Genomic DNA, 19435 nt, shown 5'->3' with positions numbered 1-19435 from the left:
GGCATGTTTTTGCAGTGGCTAGTACCAGTTATTCCTTTCCATGCTTAGTGCTTCCTTCAGGAGCTCTTCTTATAAGGCAGGCCTGGTAGTGACAAAATCTCTCAGCATTTGCTTGTCTATAAAGGATTTTATTTCTCCTTCACTTATGAAGCTTAGTTTGGCTGGATATGAGATTCTGGGTTGAAAATTCTTTTCTTTAAGAATGTTGAATATTGGCCCCCACTCTCTTCTGGCTTGTAGGGTTTCTGCCAACAGATCCGCTGTTAGTCTGATGGGCTTCCCTTTGTGGGTAACCCGACCTTTCTCTCTGGCTGCCCTTAACATTTTTTCTTTCATTTCAACCTTGGTGAATCTGACAATTATGTGTCTTGGGGTTACTCTTCTTGAGGAGTATCTTTGTGGTGTTCTCTGTATTTCCTGAATTTGAATGTTGGCCTGCCTTGCTAGGTTGAGGAAGTTTTCCAGGATAATATCCTGAAGAGTGTTTTCCAACTTGATTCCATTCTTCCCGTCACTTTCAGGTACACCAATCAAACGTAGATTTGGTCTTTTCTTATAGTCTTATATTTCCTGGAGGCTTTGTTCATTTCCTTTTACTCTTTTTTTCTCTAAACTTCTCTTCTTGCTTTATTTCATTAATTTGATCTTCAATCACTGATATCCTTTCTTCCACTTGATCGAATAGGCTATTGAATCTTGTGCATGAGTCATGAAGTTCTCATGCCGTGGTTTTCAGCTCCATCAGGTCATTTAAGGTCTTCTCTACACTGTTTATTCTAGTTAGCCATTCATCTAATCTTTTTTCAAGGTTTTTAGCTTCCTTGCAATGGGTTAGAACATGCTCCTTTAGCTCAGAGAAGTTTGTTATCACAGACCTTCTGAAGCCAACTTCTGTCAACTCATCAAACTCATTCTCTGTCCCGTTTTGTTCCTTTGCTGGTGAGGGGCTGCAATCCTTTGGAGGAGAAGAGGCACTCTGTTTTTTTGGAATTTTCAGCTTTTCTGCTCTGGTTTCTCCCCATCTTTGTGGTTTTATCTACCTTTGGACTTTGACATTGGTGACCTACAGATGGAGTTTCGGTGTGGATGTCCTTTTTGTTGATGTTGATGCTATTCCTTTCCGTTTGTTAGTTTTCCTTCTTACAGACCCCTCAGCTTCAGGTCTGTTGGAGTTTGCTGGAGGTCTAATCCAGACCCTGTTTGCCTGGGTATCACCAGCGGAGGCTGCAGAACAGCAAATATTGCTGCCTGATCCTTCCTCTGGAAGCTTCGTCCCAGGGGGGCACTCACCTGTTTGAGGTGTCTGTTGGCCCCTACTGGGAAGTGTTTCCCAGTCAGGCTACACAGGGGTCAAGGACCCACTTGAGGAGGCAGTCTGTCCGTTCTTGGAGCTCAAATGCCATGCTGAGAGAACCGCTGCTCTCTTCAGAGTTGTCAGACAGGGACGTTTAAGTCTGCAGAAGCTGTCTGCTGCCTTTTGTTCTCCTATGCCCTGACCCCAGAGGTGGAATCTGTAGAAGTAGTAGGCCTTACTGAGCTGTGGTGGGCTCTGCCCAGTTTGTACTTCCTGGCCTCTTTGTTTTCACTGTGACACTTTGTTTACTCAAGCCTCAGCAATGGCAGATGCCCCTCCCCCCCTCAAGCTGCAGCGTTGCAGGTCGATCTCAGACTGCAGCGCTAGCAGTGAGCAAGGCTCTGTGGGCGTGGGACCCACTGAGCCGGCACAGGAGGGTATCTTCTTGTCTGCTGGTTGCTAAGACTGTGGGAAAAGCACAGTATTTGGTCAGGAGTGTACTGTTTCTCCAGGTACAGTCTGTCATGGCTTCCCTTGGCTAGGAAAGGGAAATACCCCAACCCCTTGCATTTCCCTGATGAGGCAATGCCCCACCCTGCTTCAGCTCACCCTCCATGGGCTGCATCCACTGTCCAACCGGTCCCAGTGAGATGAATCAGGTGCCTCAGTTGGAAATGCAGAAATCACCCATCTTCTGCATCAATCTTGCTGGGAGCTGCAGACTGGAGCTGTTCCTATTCGTCCATCTTGGACAATAGCCCGCTTACTGTGATGTTTTAAGGTCAAGGTAATGACCTCTTAACAATCCTCGCTAGTACTAGATTCTATGGCAAAAGTCTGTCACAGAACTGGATACTTCAGAGGCTTCCACCAAACCAAATTAGTAATCCAAACTGGAACAAACTATATTTATTTGTGAATTCTCAATCCATTCAATATAAATACCAATTTCTCTATGAATAGTGAAACAAAAAATGTCTCTCTTCTCATTTTTTATACCTACTCAGCCAACATTACTAAACTGAGACAAAAACAGAGAGATACAGGGAGATAAAACATTCCCTGAAGCAAGTCAGTATTTCATTCCAGCTGTAACTCTGCAATTAACATTAGTTCTATGGTATTTCCAATACATGCTGATTCTCAACTTTTGGAATTCTAAACCTAAAAACCATATAATTTCACCACCTCAATTTTTTAATTTGCTTTAGAATTATCTATGTTGAGTCAAAAGGGCCTTTGAGGTCTTTAATTTCATGACTTCTGGGTGATTTTTTCCCCCATTATTAAACTTTATTTTAACTTTTCATACACACAGATACACACACTCACACACACACATCACTTCACACTACGCATACATATATTCCTACTGCTCTTTTTCAGGTAGGATGCTGGTTAAAAATATGGACTGGGGCTGGGTGCAGTGGCTCATGCCTGTAATCCCAGCACTTTGGGAGGTCAAGGCGGGCAGATAAGTTGAGGTCAGGAGTTCGAGAGCAGCCTGACCAACAGAGTGAAACCCCATCTCTACTAAAAATAGAAAAATTAGCTGGGTGTAGTGGTGCGCACCTATAGTAACAGCTATTCAGAAGGCTGAGGCATGAGAATTGCTTGAACCCCAGAGGCAGAGGTTGCAGTGAGCTGTGATTGCACCACTGCACTCCAACCTAGGCGACAAAGCGAGACTCTGTCTCCAAAAAAAAAAAAAGAAAAGAAAAAAAAATACGGACTAGAAGCCATACTGCCTAGTTTGAATCCCAGTCTTGCCTCTATTGAGTAATAGGGCCTTGAACAAGTTATTAACCCTCTTTGTGCCTCAGTTTCTTCATCTACAATATGAGAATGAGAATAGTACCGACCTCAAAGGGTTTGTGATGATTAAACATGCATGTTGCTTAGAATTGTGTTTGGCACGTACTAAGCCCTCAAAAGAAGCTTCCTGAGTTTTATAGCACATAAAAAGTCAAGTCAGTGCAGCTAAAAGAAATCATTGAAGGGAGAAGATGAGAGACACAGAGCATAATGAAAGGCCTGGTGGGAGAATGAGCCTTGGGAATCTGGATGGGGCTAGACTTGGTCACTCACCTGAACTTCCTTAAGCTGTGATTTTTCTGGTTCCAGAGGTGACAATGAAGACACCATGAGTGAAGGCATGGACAGAAAAATTCACTGGGGAAGCCTGTGCTAAACTCATAAATACTCTTAAAAGTAAACCCCTTACAAGAAGCCTCAGCAAATAAAAGCAAGCCCTGAGGGAACTGCACTAATATCAGTGTGAGGAGGAAGGCGGAGAGGTCTCCTCACACCTGGAGAGCTGTCCCTGGCTGCAGAGAGGCTGGCACCCTGCAGCATTCTTTTCCCAGGATGGTTCTGTTTTATTTCATTTTCAAAGAGCTGGTAGTTAAACATTTACCATTGCTCCACTGAAGACAATAAAGAATAAAGGGGCTGGCTCAGAAAAAAATGAAAACCAAAAAAAAAAAAAAACAAAACAAATTAAACTGCAAAGCTTTTTCACCTTTGCATTAGGGCAGGAAGCCTGCAGCCAGGCATGGCATGTTATAGTTTATCTAAAGAAAAAAAGCCAAATCGGCTGGGCGTGGTGGCTCACGCCTATAATACCAGCACTTTGGGAGGCCGAGGTGGGTGGACCGCCTGAGGTCAGGAGTTCAAGACTAGCCTGGGCAAGATGGCGAAACCATGTCTCTACTAAAAATACAAAAATTAGCCGGGCATGGTGATGTGCACCTGTAATCCCAGCTACTCCGGAGGCTGAGGCAGGAGAATTGCTTGAACCCAGGAGGTGAAGGTTGCAGTGAGCTCAGATCACGCTACTGCACTCCAGCATGGGTGATAGAGCAAGACTTTGTCTCAAAAAAGAGAAAGAAAGAAAAGAAAGGAAGGAAGGAAGGAAGGAAGGAAGGAAGGAAGGAAGGAAGGGAAAGGAAAGGAAAGGAAAGGAAAGGAAGGAAGGAAAGGAAGGAAGGAAGGAAGAAAGAAAGGAAGGAAGGAAATTTTGCCATTCTTTCCCACTAAATGCAAGTTCACTGCAGTTCCAAGGTACTTATCCACACCGTGTATTTACATCTGCCTCAGGTTTGTAGTAAATGCTGTAAACAGAGAGATGTGATGAAGAGAGGTAATGCATATTCTTTATCACCTCTCTAAAAACATGATTATCCTGACCTATTGTAGGGAATATGAAAACACTATGTAGTGAGAATTACCATCCTGCTTCATTATACTTAAAAGAGAATTTAACCTGTTCAGATTTCTGAGTTGTTCCTTAAGTATAAAAGTGAAAGAATCAGGATCAAAACGAAGAACCTCTAAATCCGCCTATTGTATCTGCTTGGGCTGCCATGACAAGGTATCACAGAGTGGGGGCTTAAACAACAGAAATTTATTCTCTCACAGTTCTGGAGGCTGGAAGTCCAAGATAAGGTGTCTGCAGGGTTGATTTCTCCTGAAGCCTCTCTCCTTGACTTGTAGACCTTCATCTTCTCCCTGTGTGGTCTTCCCTCTGTGGGTGGCTGTGTCCTCATCTCCTCTTCTTATAAGGACTCCTGTCATATTGGATTAGGGCCCACCCATGTGACCTCATTTTAACTTAATTACTTCTGTGAAGACCCTATCTCTAAACACAGTCACATTTGGAGTTCCTTGGTGTTAAAGTTTCAACATGAATTTGGGGTGGGGGTCACAATTCAGTCCATCACACACCTAACGTGGGTGTAATGTGTCTACAGGAACAGTTTGATTGAGCAACACCACAGGTTGCATTCCCAGAGAAGCAAATTTTGAGATGGAGATTGGCATGCTGGAAGTTTGTGGAGAGTGCTCCTGGGAAACTGTCAAGGCAAGAGAGGAAGCAGGATTAGGCAGAGGAGGAAGCTGAAATCAGGATAAAGACCCCAGCAAGTCACAGAGGCCCTCCAAAGCTGGGATGTCCTTCCATGTTGTCTGAACTGAGGCAAGGTAGTTGGAAGTTTATGCCCCTTCCTAGACAGTCACTGTAAACAGGCCACCCGAGGGAGGAGGTGTGCTGTGCCTCAGCTGGGGACAATCTCAAGAGGGGACTCTGAAGCAAGCTGCTAGGTGCCAACCCTTCCATAGCTGACAGAATGATTGACTAAGCCTGAAGTGGGGTGTCAGGTCATGGACCCCAGTGTCCACTACAAATCTGAAATTTACTTTCCTCAAGTGAGTGGAAGGACTTACCATTATCTTCTTAAGAAATATCTCGCACCCTACAGAATGGGAGAAAATATTTGCAAACCATCCATCTGATAATGGGTTAACAGTCAGAAAAATAAAACGCACTCATACAATAATAACAATAAAACATAATCTGGCTAAATAAATGGGCAGAGAACCTGAAAAGACATTTGTCAAAAGAAGACATACAAATGGCCAAGAGGTACATACAAAGGTGTGCAATATCACTAATTGTATTAGTCTGTTCTCACACTGCTAATAAAGACCTACCCAAGACTGGGTAATTTATATAGAAAAAGAGGTTTAATGGACTCACCATTCCACATGGCCGGGGAGGCCTCACAGTCAATGCAGAAGGCAAAGGAGGAGCAAAGGCACGTCTTTCATGGCAGCAGGCAAGAGAGCTTGTGTAGTGGAACTGCCCTTTACAAAACCATCAGATCTTGTGAGACTTACTCACTGCCATAAGAACAGCACGGGAAAGACCCGTCCCCATGATTCAATTACCTCCCACCAGATTCCTCTCACAACATGTGGGAATTATGGGAGATACAATTCAAGATGAGGTTTGGGTGGGGACACAGCCAAACCGTATCACTAATCATCAGGGATATACAGATCAAAACCATAATGAGATATCATCTTACCCCAGTTGGCTATCATCAAAAACACTAATAAGTGTTGTGAGGATATGGGAAAAGGGAACCCACGTATACTGTTGGTAGGAATGTAAACTGATATATTAGTTCGTTCTTACATTGCTATAAAGAACTACCTAAGACTGGGTAATTTATAAAGAAAAGAGGTTTGATGGGCTCACAGTTCTGCAGGCGGTACAGGAAACATGGCTGCAGAGGCCTCAGGAAACTTAGAATCATGGCAGAAGACAAAAGGGAAGCCAGCACATCCTATATGGCTGGAACAGGAGAGGGAGAGAGCAAAGGGGGAAGTGCTACACACTCTCAAACAACCAGATCTCATGAGAACTTACTCACTATCACGAGAACAGCAAAAGGGAAATCCACCCCCATGATCCAACATTTCCCACCAGACCCCTCCCCCAACACTGAAGATCACAATTCAACATGAGATTTGGGTAGAGACATAGAGCCAAACCATATTAGCTGGTATAGTCGTTATGGAACACAGCATGCAGGTTCCTCAAAATTTAAAAATACAATTATCATATGTAGCAGTAACTCCACTTCTGGGTATATATCCAAAGGAAATGAAATCAGTACCTCAAAGAGTTCTATGCACCTCCATGTTCATTACAACATTATTCACAATAGCCAGGATATAGAATCAACCTAAGTGTTGATTCTACTAATACATGAGCAGATAAAGAAAATGTGATACACACACACACATACACACATACACACACACACACACTTACACAATGGAATTCTATTCAGCCTTGAAGAAGAAGGAAGTCCTGTCATTTGTGACAATGTGGATGAACCTGGAGGACATTATGCTGAGTGAAATAAGCCAGGCACAGAAAGACAAATACTACATGATCTCACTTTATATATGGCATCTAAAAAAGACAGACTCATAGAAGCAGAAAGTAGAACTGTGCTTACCAGGGGTTGGGGGACTGGGAGGATTGGAAAGATGTTGGTCAAAGAGTACACATTTTCAGTTACAAGATGAACAAGTTTTGGGAATCTAATAAATAACATGGTGACATGGTTAAAAATACTGTATTTAATATATACTTGAAACTTGCTACCACAGTAGATCTTAAATATTCTCAACACGCACACACACACACATAGACGGTCATGGTGTGAGGTGACAGATATTTCAATTAGCTTGGTTGTGGTAATTATTTCACAATGTATATGTATATCAAAGCATCATGTTGTACACTGTAACTATATACAATTTTTATTTGTCAAATATGCTTCGATAAAGCTGAGAGGGGGGGATAGAAAACAAAGAAATTTCTCACAATGTCTCTCAGTAGATCTAAGGGTAACATATTAAAAACTCGAAAATATTTGGCCCAATCCTGGGCTGCTAACATGGGTTAGTGGAAAAGTGCACTGTGGCGCCAGAAAGGTCTGGGTTCAAATCTCTATCTTGCTGTTTGCTAATATTTCTTAACCTCTCTGAACCTCCAATTTCTCCTGTGCAAAATGAATATAATAATACCCATCTTATTGGACTGTTGCAAGATTTAAACAAAAAAAAAAACATAGACTTAGATTGTCTAGCAACAATGCTTGACACAAAGAAGGCATTTAAAAAGCATTTGTTCCCTTCCCCTTTTTACAGCAAATAGTTCATTGGCAGTGAATGATTACAAACTACAAGTGTTTCTCAACTTGGAGTGGTTTCTCAAGTATGTGACTGGAACCACCTGTAGAGATTGTTAAACTACAGATCCCTGGACCCCACCCCATTCTTAATGAATCTAGTTCATGGGTTCTAGGGTGGAGCCCAGGAATGTATAATTTTAGCAAGTTCCATGGATGTTTCTGATACCCAGAAAATCATGAAGCCCTCTGCTTGAGGCTGAGCTCAGTAAGAATATTCTTTGTATTAGAACCCAGGGAGGTCTGTGCTTAGAGGATGCCTGAGGACATTTGCACCTCCCTCCTTGTCATGAGTTCTGTGGATGTACATCTGCACATCACATCACAGAGACCTCTCTCCATTGCATAAATTCTGTGTATTCCAAAACTAAAACATGCATAAATCACATCAGTTATAGACTCAAACCAATTCTCCTTTTTGAGATGTCATTTTATTGAGTTATAAATCACCACTAAAAGGCAATTTTGTGCAGACAGAAATTTTACTGGAGGATGCAGATCCCCTGAGCTTGTCTGGAAAATGAGAAGCCTATTCAAAGACGAAGTGTCCTGCTGGTGGAAGAGTCATTGGGCCTGCAAAGAGGCATGTCTGGATGGAGGTTTAACTTTTTCATTTCAACCAAACAAAATGGAGCCCCTCACCCAGATGGGATTGCTGAAGGCTTTCTGGGTTTGATTATGGGTCACAAAGTCCAGCTGCATTGCAGAAATTACACTGTCAAGAAGACGCTGACCAAGGTCCAGAAAATAAACAGGAGCTGAGATGCAGAAAGTGACCTCGAAGCTTAAACAGGCTTTCCCATGCCTACCAGACGCTTTTCTTGATTTAACACCGGGTCATGTGGTTTTTCAGTGTCTTCTGTGGCTTTCTTTTCCCATAGATGGGCCTCACTTATTCTAAAATATAAAGCTTTGGGGGTTTCTTGAAAATGGCACTTTCACTCAGTAAAAATAAGTCCAGATGAAAACCTTATCTGTGGGAATCCATTCTGAAGAAGGATTAAAGTAAGTCTATTTTCCCCAAATGATCAATAACCACCCAGACCTAATCACTATCTCTGATTACATGATGAAAAAGATTCTGGAAGCAGCACAGCAAAAATATGACAATGACAGAGAACTCAAAGGTGACCCTGTACTCACCATCTCCATGCAGACATCACAAGTGCAGGGATGAGTAAGCCCTTTAGTTGGAGATCTATGTTGCTAATAACAAGACATTCTGAGTTTTCTTCTTCTTAGTGAGAGAGCCTTCCATGACCATTTTCCCATAGTTTGCCTTTATTCGTTTCTAAGAAACTATTTTTCCAGTTTTGACCATGGTGCTGTAACCCACAGAGGCACCGTTACACTGAAACTATGCAACCCTATCTGTTAAGTATTATCCAACGCCCACTTGGGTTTTCACTGGCTCATTTAGAGAAGCACCTTTGAGTACAATATCCAATTAAACAGTAGGTTTACATGGAGTGCTTCCTGCTCGTGTTAAAAATCTCATTCTGGCCGGGCGCGGTGGCTCACGCCTGTAATCCCAGCACTTTGGGAGCCCGAGGCAGGTTGATCACGAGGTCAGGAGATCAAGACCATCCTGGCTACTACGGTGAAACCCCGTCTCTACTAAAAATACAAAAAATTAGCTGGGCTTGGTGGCAGGTGCCTGTAGTCCCAGCTACTGGGGAGGCTGAGGCAGGAGAATGGCGTGAACCCGGGAGGCGGAGCTTGCAGTGAGCAGAGATTGTGCCACTGCACTCCAGCCTGGGCGACAGAGCGAGACTCCGTCTCAAAAAAAAAAAAAAAAAAAAAAAAACCTCATTCTATTTCTGCCCTGTGCTCTGCCATTCCCTAGATACACAGAATTTTGGACCCAGTAGAGCACCTTCACGAGGATAGTGCTGCAGTGAACCGCAGTAGCAAGGAAATCGTACAAGCTCAGTGGCTCAGCACAACACACTGTTCTCACTCGTGGTCCAGTCAGGGACTCTCCTGGACAGCTGTCCTCGGGGATCTGGGTCTCTTCCATCATGGGCTCCAGTATCTCGGGGCCTTTCACTTCCAGCATGTGAAACACTCCGTCTTCTTCAAGAGGGAGTGTGTGGGACATGTTAGGGAGCAGGCTAGAAAGCAGAGTACATCACTTCCACTGGCACTCTACCGTCTAGCACTCAATCGCATCATCAACCTAAATCCGAAGAAAGCAGGGAGATGTAGAGATGAGCACAGCTGCTGACAGTGCCTGCCTCGGAGAGATGTTAGCTGCCCCTTTCTTTCAATCCCTTTTTAAGGTTTTGCAGTTGAGGCGACTGAGACTCGGAAGACATGTTACCCACAGCTAGTCAGTGACAGCCCAGCGCAGTGTTCACCCAGGGGCCTCTTGCCCACCCTTATTAATTCCAATTAATGGATAAAAGGGCTCATTTGGTCTCGAGGTACAGCTGGAGCTTTGTTTCCTGCTCTTCTACGCAGGACTCCACGGTGAGGAGGAGGACGACCACTCTGCTGCAAAACCCGCAGTTCCAGGGCAATGCCTCTTGGTCTGGGAGCTGCACAGATGAATACCTCAAGGAGCAAGTGCCAGTAGCCAACCGTAATTATGGGAAATGCTTCTTGGCTCCTAAGGGATATAAAATTACTTTGGGGAAAGTCAAGGAAAATAGAAACAGAATACCCCATAATGCTTTATTTGGAGGCCAGAAGTCACATACTAAGGCTTGTGTTTTGTGTTTGATTCTGTCAAGAGAGCTTAAAAGGTGGAGACAGCCTTTGGGGGGAATGAAGGTCTGGATGGTATCAGCCTGGCTTGCAAGCGTCGCTGTGGCTCATGAAAACATATGTCTTGAAAGGTTGTCCTGCTCATAGTTCCGAGCAAATGTGAGAAACAACAGAGGCTTCCAACAAATACCTGCTAAAGAATGAGGAAATGGACACAGGCAAATAGGCAAATGGAGTCTCCTTAACGGAATCGTAAGGCTGTCTGGAGGTAATACGAGTGGAAAGAACTCCTGTGTGAAAATCTGCATGCATCTTTGCCCCCGTGGAACCGTCTACACAAGTGCTAATGGAACAGTTAGTTACATACCTATTTTTTTAAACTCTGACTTTACCATTACAGAGGTTATATATCTATAGGATTTTTTGCCTGAATTTTTAGATTTTCACCTGGAGATCTGGTATGGAATAATTAAATGCTGCATATTGTTTCTCTTATTCTTAAGGATCTTGGAGAAATTATTTAACAGTCTGAGATCTCCTTCTCTCCTTCCCTACCCTCCCCACCCCTGACCTATAACAGCTAGGGAGAGAAAATAAATACAAATAATATCTGCTGGCCAGGCACAGTGGCTCACGCCTGTAATCCCAGCACTTTGGGAAGCTGAGGCAGGCAGATCATGAGGTCAGGAGATCAAGACCATCCTGTGTAACATGGTGAAACCTCGTCTCTACTAAAAATACAAAAATTAGCCAGGCGTGGTGGCAGGTGCCTGTAGTCCCAGCTACTCGGGAGGCTGAGGCAGGAGAATGGCGTGAACCCGGGAGGTGGGGGTTGAGGTGAGCCAAGATCGCGCCACTGCATTCCAGCCTGGGCGAAATAGCGAGACTCCATCTCAAAAATAAATAAATAAAATAAAATAAAATATCTGCCATTTGGCTGCAAAGTATGGTGCTGATTTAACCTGAATATTACCACATAAAATCAAATAACAATAATAATAGAAAATAGGTTTATAGCAGTACCAGAATTATATTACTTAATTTAGCTGCCTTTTCCCAAAATATAATCACACTTCCTAGATTTTACAGGTCAGATATAAAAGAGTACAGTGGAAGAATTCAATCACATGTGCCTTCATTGTTCACTTTTTCATCTCAAGCTCTTCTTTTCATGCTAGCTGTTCCAGCTCTTCAAAAAATGTTTGTTCTTGTGAGTCAGAAATATTGTATCCATTTTATTAACAGCCTGTTTGAAGCCAATAAGATGAATGCGTTTGCTGAGCATAGGTTAGTTTATGGCAAAGTCTGGACTCAAATCAATGGCAGGAGAGGAGAGGCAAGCTAGTTAGATACCTCCAAAGGACTTGGACATAAGGAAGATTTCAGAGTTAAATTAGCAAAATGCATACATTCAATACATACACACTAGTAAAACAAAATGGCTGCAATTAGTCAATTATGGAAGTAAACCAAGAAAACATCCATCTGTCTGTAAAATAGAAGAGTGTGGGAACTTCTTAAACTTCAGTCCTGCTGATCTGGGGTATAGTAATGAGGAAGATGAATATATGGTTGTAAGTCAGTGAGCAGAATGCCAAGTGGCTGCATTGTGCCTGATTGGATGAAATGTTATCCATGTTATCTGATTGGATGAAAGGTATGTGAACAGAAGGGGCTGGTCAGCCAAAGAAGCAAGAAAGAAGGAGAATCAGAGGGTCTGAAAGCCCCTCTAGATGGCAAAGCCCTTGGACATGGAAGCATCTAAGAAAAACATAGTCTTGGCAGTGTTGACCAAAAGTATGGTTCCCTTTATGAGACGTTCCCTGTTGTGAGCAAGAGTGCCTCAAGCCATTGACAGCAGCATTCTAAGATCCATTAAGAGCACTTGTTCTGATCCTGTGGACACCAAGCAACCTTGTGATAATTTGGCTCCTCACATAGTGAGACTATTGGCAGCTCTGCCTCAACACATTCTGGTCTACTTGTCAGTTGTATAGACGAATTTAATTATATCTGACGTGGTGTGCTGACTCCACCCTAAGCACGCCAACAAAATCACTTTTATGAGCCTAACAGACCTTAGACCAGGGTGTACTCTTTAAGGTAAACACCACCCTCGGCATGCAGCTGGACAGGCAGTAATGTTGCCCAGCAACACCCCAGGCCACACGCCATACGCCACTTGAACTGCAGCTGAACCAGCCTGCGTAATTTTGACTGAGCCACATATAAAGTCAAGATCAGGATGTTCTAACAACATGACCACCTCTAGTGATCTGACCAAACAATTGCCATATCACAAGCCAGGAGCAGTCTGCAGAGTGGAGGAATGGAAAGAACCTAAACCATTTTAACAGGCCATGTGCCAATTTTCAACTGTACCCGGGACCCCACCATAGACAGCTTCATCAAAGATATCAATGCTGTTGACAGAGTAATGTTTTCCAGGTTTTATCCCACCCTACTCAGTTGCAGTAATTGTTAGGTGATAAAGACAGTGACAGCTCATTACAAAATTCAACTTCCAGAAGCTGGAAGGTTAAGTGACACCTCTTACCTGCTGGGTGATGGGTTAGCGTCTTAACCTTATCCTTTTGCTACTCTCTGCCCCAAACTCCAACCCCATCTGGAAGCTTGTGCACTTGAGGCAGTAGATTTCACATGAAACCAAGTCAGAAGGCTTTACAACAGACCATTAAGTAGGAATGTGTAGGAAAAGTACGTAGAGGAGAATGGATGAAGGGGATGAAGAATATTGCCTAAAAACTCAAGACCGTTATCTGTAGCCCTTATAACACTTTTTATTTATGTGTTCTGTGTGTGTGTGTGTGTGTGTGTGTGGATTTGTGCACTACTGTACCTTCATACCAGCTTGTCACACACGTATAAACCTATGTCCACAGACATTAACTACTTGGTTTTTGTTTTGTTTTGTTTTGAGATGGAGTCTCGCTCTGCCACCCAGACTGGCATACAGTGACACCATTTCAGCTAACTCCAACCTCCACCTACCAGGTTCAAGCAATTCTCCTGCCTCAGCCTCCTGAGCGTCTGGGATTACAGGCACCTGCCACCATGCCTGGCTGATTTTTGTATTTTTAGTAGAGATGGGGTTTTGCCATGTTGGCCAGGCTGGTCTCGAACTCCTGATATCAAGTGGATCCGCCTGCCTGGGCCTCCCAAAGTGCTGAGACTAAAAGCGTGAGCCACCGCGCCCAGCCTACTTGGCTTCTTTAAACAGCTTTATTGAGGCATAACTGACATACGATAAACTACACATACTGAAAATATAAATTATTTTAATCTGTAATTACACCTTTATTTTTTAAAAAATTGTGTGAGCCCAACCAGATAACCATGAAAAGTTCCATATTAATGATGATTGTACTGAGTAGAGAAGCCTCCAATTAAAGTAAATTTTGATAACATTGACATATATATATGCACTGGTGGAACCATCGCCAAAACCAAGATAACAAACACATCCATCACCTCCAGAAGTTTTCTCATGCCCCTTTGTAATCCCACCTCTGCTGCTTCCTACCCCCAGCCCCATTCCTAGGCAACCGTTAATCTGCTTTCTGTCACTATACATCAGTTTGGATATTCCAGAAAATTATATAAATGATACATATCTTATATACCCTTTTTCTGGCTTCTTATACTCAGAATAGTTACTTTGATTTGTATCTATGTTGTAATATGTATCAATAGTTCATTTATTTTCATTATGGCTGAGTGTTATTCTTCATACGGATGGACCACAGTGTGTTTATCCATTCACCTTTGATAGATATTTGGTTTGTTCCCAGTTGGGGGCAATTAGAAATAAAATTCTAAAAACATTTATGTAAAAGGGTGTGCATGGCATAGGCTTTCTTTTCTCTTGGATAAAAATCTAGGAATCAATGACTAGATTATATGATCAGTGTATTCCTAACTTCCTAAGAAACTGCCTAACTATGTTCCCATCACCAGTGTTTGAGAGTTCCAGTTCCTCCTCACCCTTGCCAACACATTTTATGGTCAGATTTTCCTTCTAATTCTTGCTATTCTAATAGGTATGTAGTGGTACCTTCTAGTGGCTTTAATTTGCATTTCTCTAATGACTAATGATGTTGAGCATCTTTTCATATGCTTATTTGTCATCTGTGTGTGTCCTCATTAATAAAATGTCTGGTCAAATATTTTGTCCATTTTCTATTTGGTTTGTTTTCTTATTATTCAGTAATGAGAGTTTCTTATCTATTCTGGCTACAATTACTTTATCAGATTTATATATTGTAAACATTTTCCGCCAGTGTCTGGCTTGTCTTCTTAGTCTAATAACAATGTCTTTAGAAGAGCAGGTGTTTTTAATTTTTATGAAGTCCTATTTATTAATTTTTTCTTTTATGGATTGTGCTTTTGGTGTGGTAACTAAGAAATCCTTGCCTACCCAAAGTCACAAACATTTTCTCTTATATTTTTATAGTTTTAGGTTTTATATTTATTTCTGATCCACTTTGAATTAATATTCATATAATGAAAGATATGAACTGAAGTGCACTATTTTGAATACTGATATCCAAGTGTACTAGCACCATTTGTTGAAAGAACTATGTTTCTCCACTAAAGTTTCTTTGCACCTTTGTCAAAAGTCAGTTGTCCATATAGGTGTGTAGGCCTCTTTCTATTCCACTTATCTATTTGTCAGTCTTTAAGCCAATATCACATTGTCTTGATTAGTATAGTTTTGCAATTCTTGAAATCCGGCAGTATTAATCCTCCAAGTTTGTTCTTCTTTTATAAAGATTTTTGTTTTTGAGGATTTTTGTTTTGCTTTTTGTTTGTGCTGTTCTAGGTCCTTTGTGTTTCTATATGAAGTTCAGAATCGATTTGTTCATTTCTACAAAAAAAAGCCTACTGGGCTTTTGATTGGGGTGATATCAAATCTATAAATCAATTTAGGAAGAACTGACATCTTACCGATATAAGTCTTTGGATTCATGAACACATTATATCTCTCCATTTATTTATATCTTCTTTAATTTTTCTCAACAGTTGTTTTATGGTTTTTGGTGTACAGAGAACTGTACACCAAAATATCATTTCTCAGTATCAAAGTATTCAAAGTACATCACTTCTCAGTATCAGACTGTCAGGAAAATGATCAATTTCCCCTTCAAGACTGACAAGCTAAAGGCACCAGAGGCTTAGGCTTCTTACAGCAACACAATGCAGGGACTATAAAAAGCAAACGATAGCACCTATTTCCTAAAGTCACGAATGTTAAGTGAGTTTAACATTTATGCAGTTTAACGTAACACCGGTTGTGAAGGTAAACTGCCTGGGTTCAAATCCCAGCTGCACCACTTATAACTGAATCACCTTGGGAAATTCACAGTCTCTCTAGAACTCAGTTTTCTGATCAGCTTAATGCAGAAAATACTAGCACCTCCCTCATAAGGGTCTTCATAAGAATAAAATAAGCTCACTAAAGACTTAGAACTATTCTTGTCATATAAGAACTAATAAATATTAGTTATATTAATATATAAATCTTAGCAAGTTTTATATTATATTTATTATATTAATATATAAATATTAGCAATCATTGTTGATTTTATTATTAGTAGCACTTAACATAGTATTTGGAACAAATGAGTATCCAATAAAGGGTAGATATTATTGGCTTATGTAGCAAACTAGTGGTTAACACCTTCAGGTATGCTTCTCAACTGTTTTGAATAACCGAAGCTGAACTGAATTTGCTAGAAGTAGGTCTGTTTGTTCTTTATTTTTTATTTTTTATTTTTTTGAGACAGAGTCTTGCTCTGTCGCTCAGGCTGGAGTGCAGTGGCGCGATCTTATCTCATTGCAACATCCACCTCCCGGGTTCACGCCATTCTCCTGCCTCAGCCTCCCTAGTAGCTGGGACTACAGGCGCCCACCACCATGCCCAGCTACTTTTTTTTTTTTTTTTTTTTTTTTTAGTAGAGACGGGGTTTCACCGTGTTAGCCAGGATGGTCTTGATCTCCTGACCTCGTGATCTGCCTGCCTCGGCCTCCCAAAGTGCTGGGATTACAGGCGTGAGCCACTGACACTGCGCCCAGCCAGTAGGTTTGCTCTTAAAAGGCCTGACCCTGAACAGGAACATTCCATTCTTTGGATGCTGTATTTAAGATGCTATGTCAGACATCTCTATGCAGGATCTCACCATGATAGGCAAATCTCCACCACAATTAGCTTTACTACTGGCTTCCTTAATCTCTCTCTGGCCTATCTTGAGGTCTAAAACCCTGGAGGAGATTGTATGAATTATATTTCCTCATTGCTCCTGCAATCCTTAGAGAGATGACATTTTCATAAGGATGCATCTACACTAACTCTGGCCCTTTCTCTAGAGTAAAGAAGTGACCAGATCACCTTTCATACATACTAGACTGGTTTTATATTGTGATATGATTTCCAAACCCAGGAAGGCTCTGTGTGCCTCTCATCACTCACCACTACTACCATCCACCCTTGCACACACACACGTGAACCCTCCCTCCTGGCTTGCTGACACAATCTGTCTAATTGGAAATCCATTTCTGTGCTTGATGACTTTGTTCCCTATAAAAATACGAATTATCTTTGAAGGAAAAGCAATCATTAACCTTTGTGTGTAGGAGACAGTATTAAAGTAATAGAAAGAGAAAAGCACTCAAGATTCAAGAAAGAGGCATTCAAGATTATTAGATCCCAAATCTTTCCTCTCTTGCAAGAAGAGTTTGCCATGGTCATTAAAGCCATGGCACTGGGTGAGGTCATCATCCATGTGGTGACTATTGCTAGAGAGGAAAACTCTGGAATCTAATGGTCTCAAATGCCTTTTTCCCTCCTCTGTAACCAAGATTCTACTCAAGTTCCCTGATCTACAATAACAGGATGGCATTTGAGCCATTCATTCATTCATTCATGCATTCAGCAAATCCTGACCACCCTCTCACCATGGTCAGGTATTGTTTTAAGAGCAGGGGACACAGTAGTGAACAAAACAAAATCCCTACTCCCACAAAGCTTATATCCAAGCCAAAGAGACAGGTAATCAGCAAATAAACACAAAGGTTGTAATAGGTTGTCAAGGAGTAAGGGATTTCAAGAATAAAAATAAAATAGGGTAAAGAGATGGAGAATGCCAGGAATGCTAGTTTAGATAGAGTATTTAAGGATGTTCTTTCTGAGGCTGCAATGGTTGAATAGAGACTTGAAAACAGTGAGTGAGGCGACAGCTGGGCAGCTAGTAGAACATTCCAGGTACGGGACTGGCAAATGCCAAGGTCATAAGGTAGAAGTTTGCTCAAAGTGTTTGAGGAAAATAAAAGAAGCCTGTATGGTTGCAATAAAGAGATCGCTGGAGAGGCATCCAAAGGCCAAACCATATAGGGCATTGTAGGTGATCATAACGACTTTTCTGTATATTCCAAGCGAGATATGAAACCACTGGAGAGTTCCAGAAGGAAAGTGACAAGATCTGACCTTATTTAGAAAAATCACTTGGGCCGATATACCTAGAACAGATCACCAGGGAGCCAGAGGGAAAGCAGGACAGCCAGCGAGGAGCTGTTGCCGTAGCTCAGGAGAGAGATATTGGTGGCTTAGATGAACAAGGAAGGTAGTAGTCAAAGAGGCAAGAAACAGATATGTGATATATGTTGAAGGATGGGATGTAGGGTTTAGGTTCCATGCCATGAAAAAAGTAAAAAATGACTCTAAAATTGGTTATAGCAAAGGAGAATGCCATTTACTGAGATGTAGAACCATGGAGAAGGTTGGAGGAGGGACAGCAAGTCTGTTCTGGACATGTGAAGTTGGCATTGTCTATGAGATATCCAGGGTTCATGTTGAGCAGGCAGTTGTATACACACAGCTGGGCTTCAGAGGAAGAGTCAAGGTTAGAGAGACTTCCGTTTGTGGTCATCACTGTCTGCATGGCCATTAAAGCCATGGCACTGGCACCATGTGGTGACTTGCTAGAAAAGAGAAGAGGAGCATCCAAGAAAAGACAGTGAGAGGGAACAGCCAGGGTTGTCGGAGGAGTATCTGGAAAGCATGGTAACATGTAAGCCAAACTGTAAAATTGCTCCAAGGAGGGAGTGAGCAAAAGTCGCTGAGAGGTTCAGATGGCGTTTTTAATCTCTACTATTTATTACTGAATTAAAGGAGATGAACACCTGAAACCATGTATTAAAGTACCTTGTGCTACAGGTCAAGTACCAGAAATCTTGACCAAAAATAGCTTAAGCAATAAAAGCATTCATGATGTCACATAATATAATTCTCTGAGAAGAGTAATTCTGAGGGCCGGGCACAGTGGCTCATCCCTGTAATCCCAGCACTTTAGGAGGCCGAGGCAGGTGGATCACTTGAGGCCAGGAGATCTAGACAAGCCTGGCCAATATGGCAAAACCCTATCTATACAAAAATTAGCTGGTTGGGGTGGTGTGTGCCTGTAATCCCAGCTACCCAGGATGCTGAGGCACAAGAATTGTTTGAACCCAGGAGTTTGCAGTCAGCCGAGATCACATCACAGCACCCCAGCCTGGGTGACAGAGCGAGAGTCTGTCTCAAGATAAAAATAAAAATAAAAATATATAAAAAAAGAGTAATCCTGAGGTTGGTTATCTCATTGGCTCAAACATATCAAGGACCAAGATTTCTTCATCTTTGGGCTCTGCCACCCTGTTGGCCAGGTGTGGTGGCTCATGCCTGTAATCCCAGCACTTTGGGAAGCCAAGGCAGGAGGATCCCTTGAGTGCAGGAGTTTGAGACCAGCCTGGGCAACACAGGGAGACCCTGTCTCTAAAAAGATAAAAACAAAAGAAAAAACGGGGGGACTGCTGTAGCTCCAGATATCAC

At 42.1% G+C, this 19435-nt stretch overlaps 1 protein-coding gene and 1 long non-coding RNA gene across 7 annotated transcripts in view, besides 1 other annotated feature; one reads left to right on the top strand and one right to left on the bottom strand.

Moving 5' to 3' along the window:
* LOC105374925 (uncharacterized) overlaps positions 1 to 9195 on the bottom strand; it is a 44069-nt gene extending 34874 nt beyond the window's left edge. For 2 of the 5 annotated variants that reach the window (XR_001743967.2, XR_926470.3), the window contains exon 1: positions 1904 to 9195. This is a non-coding gene — a long non-coding RNA (uncharacterized LOC105374925). The remainder of the gene's footprint in view (positions 1 to 1903) is intronic. The other 3 variants (XR_007059446.1, XR_007059447.1, XR_007059448.1) reach the window with 3 other exon arrangements.
* The window catches only part of NEDD9 (neural precursor cell expressed, developmentally down-regulated 9), a 199051-nt gene that overhangs the window by 81432 nt on the left and 98184 nt on the right, over positions 1 to 19435 (top strand). The gene's annotated exons all lie outside the window — the stretch shown is intronic.
* Positions 1571 to 2328: an enhancer, noted in NCBI's record as "H3K27ac-H3K4me1 hESC enhancer chr6:11298822-11299579 (GRCh37/hg19 assembly coordinates)". NCBI's record gives its function as "activates a minimal SCP1, AML or CMV promoter by ChIP-STARR-seq in primed H9 embryonic stem cells {active_cell/tissue: H9 hESC(primed)}" and the evidence as "EXISTENCE:reporter gene assay evidence [ECO:0000049][PMID:30033119]".

The sequence above is a fragment of the Homo sapiens genome, chromosome 6, assembly GCF_000001405.40.
Source record: "Homo sapiens chromosome 6, GRCh38.p14 Primary Assembly".
Lineage (NCBI taxonomy): Eukaryota > Metazoa > Chordata > Mammalia > Primates > Hominidae > Homo > Homo sapiens.
The sequence above is the reverse complement of the archived record's forward strand: the minus strand, read 5'-3'. Positions and strand labels throughout refer to the sequence as shown.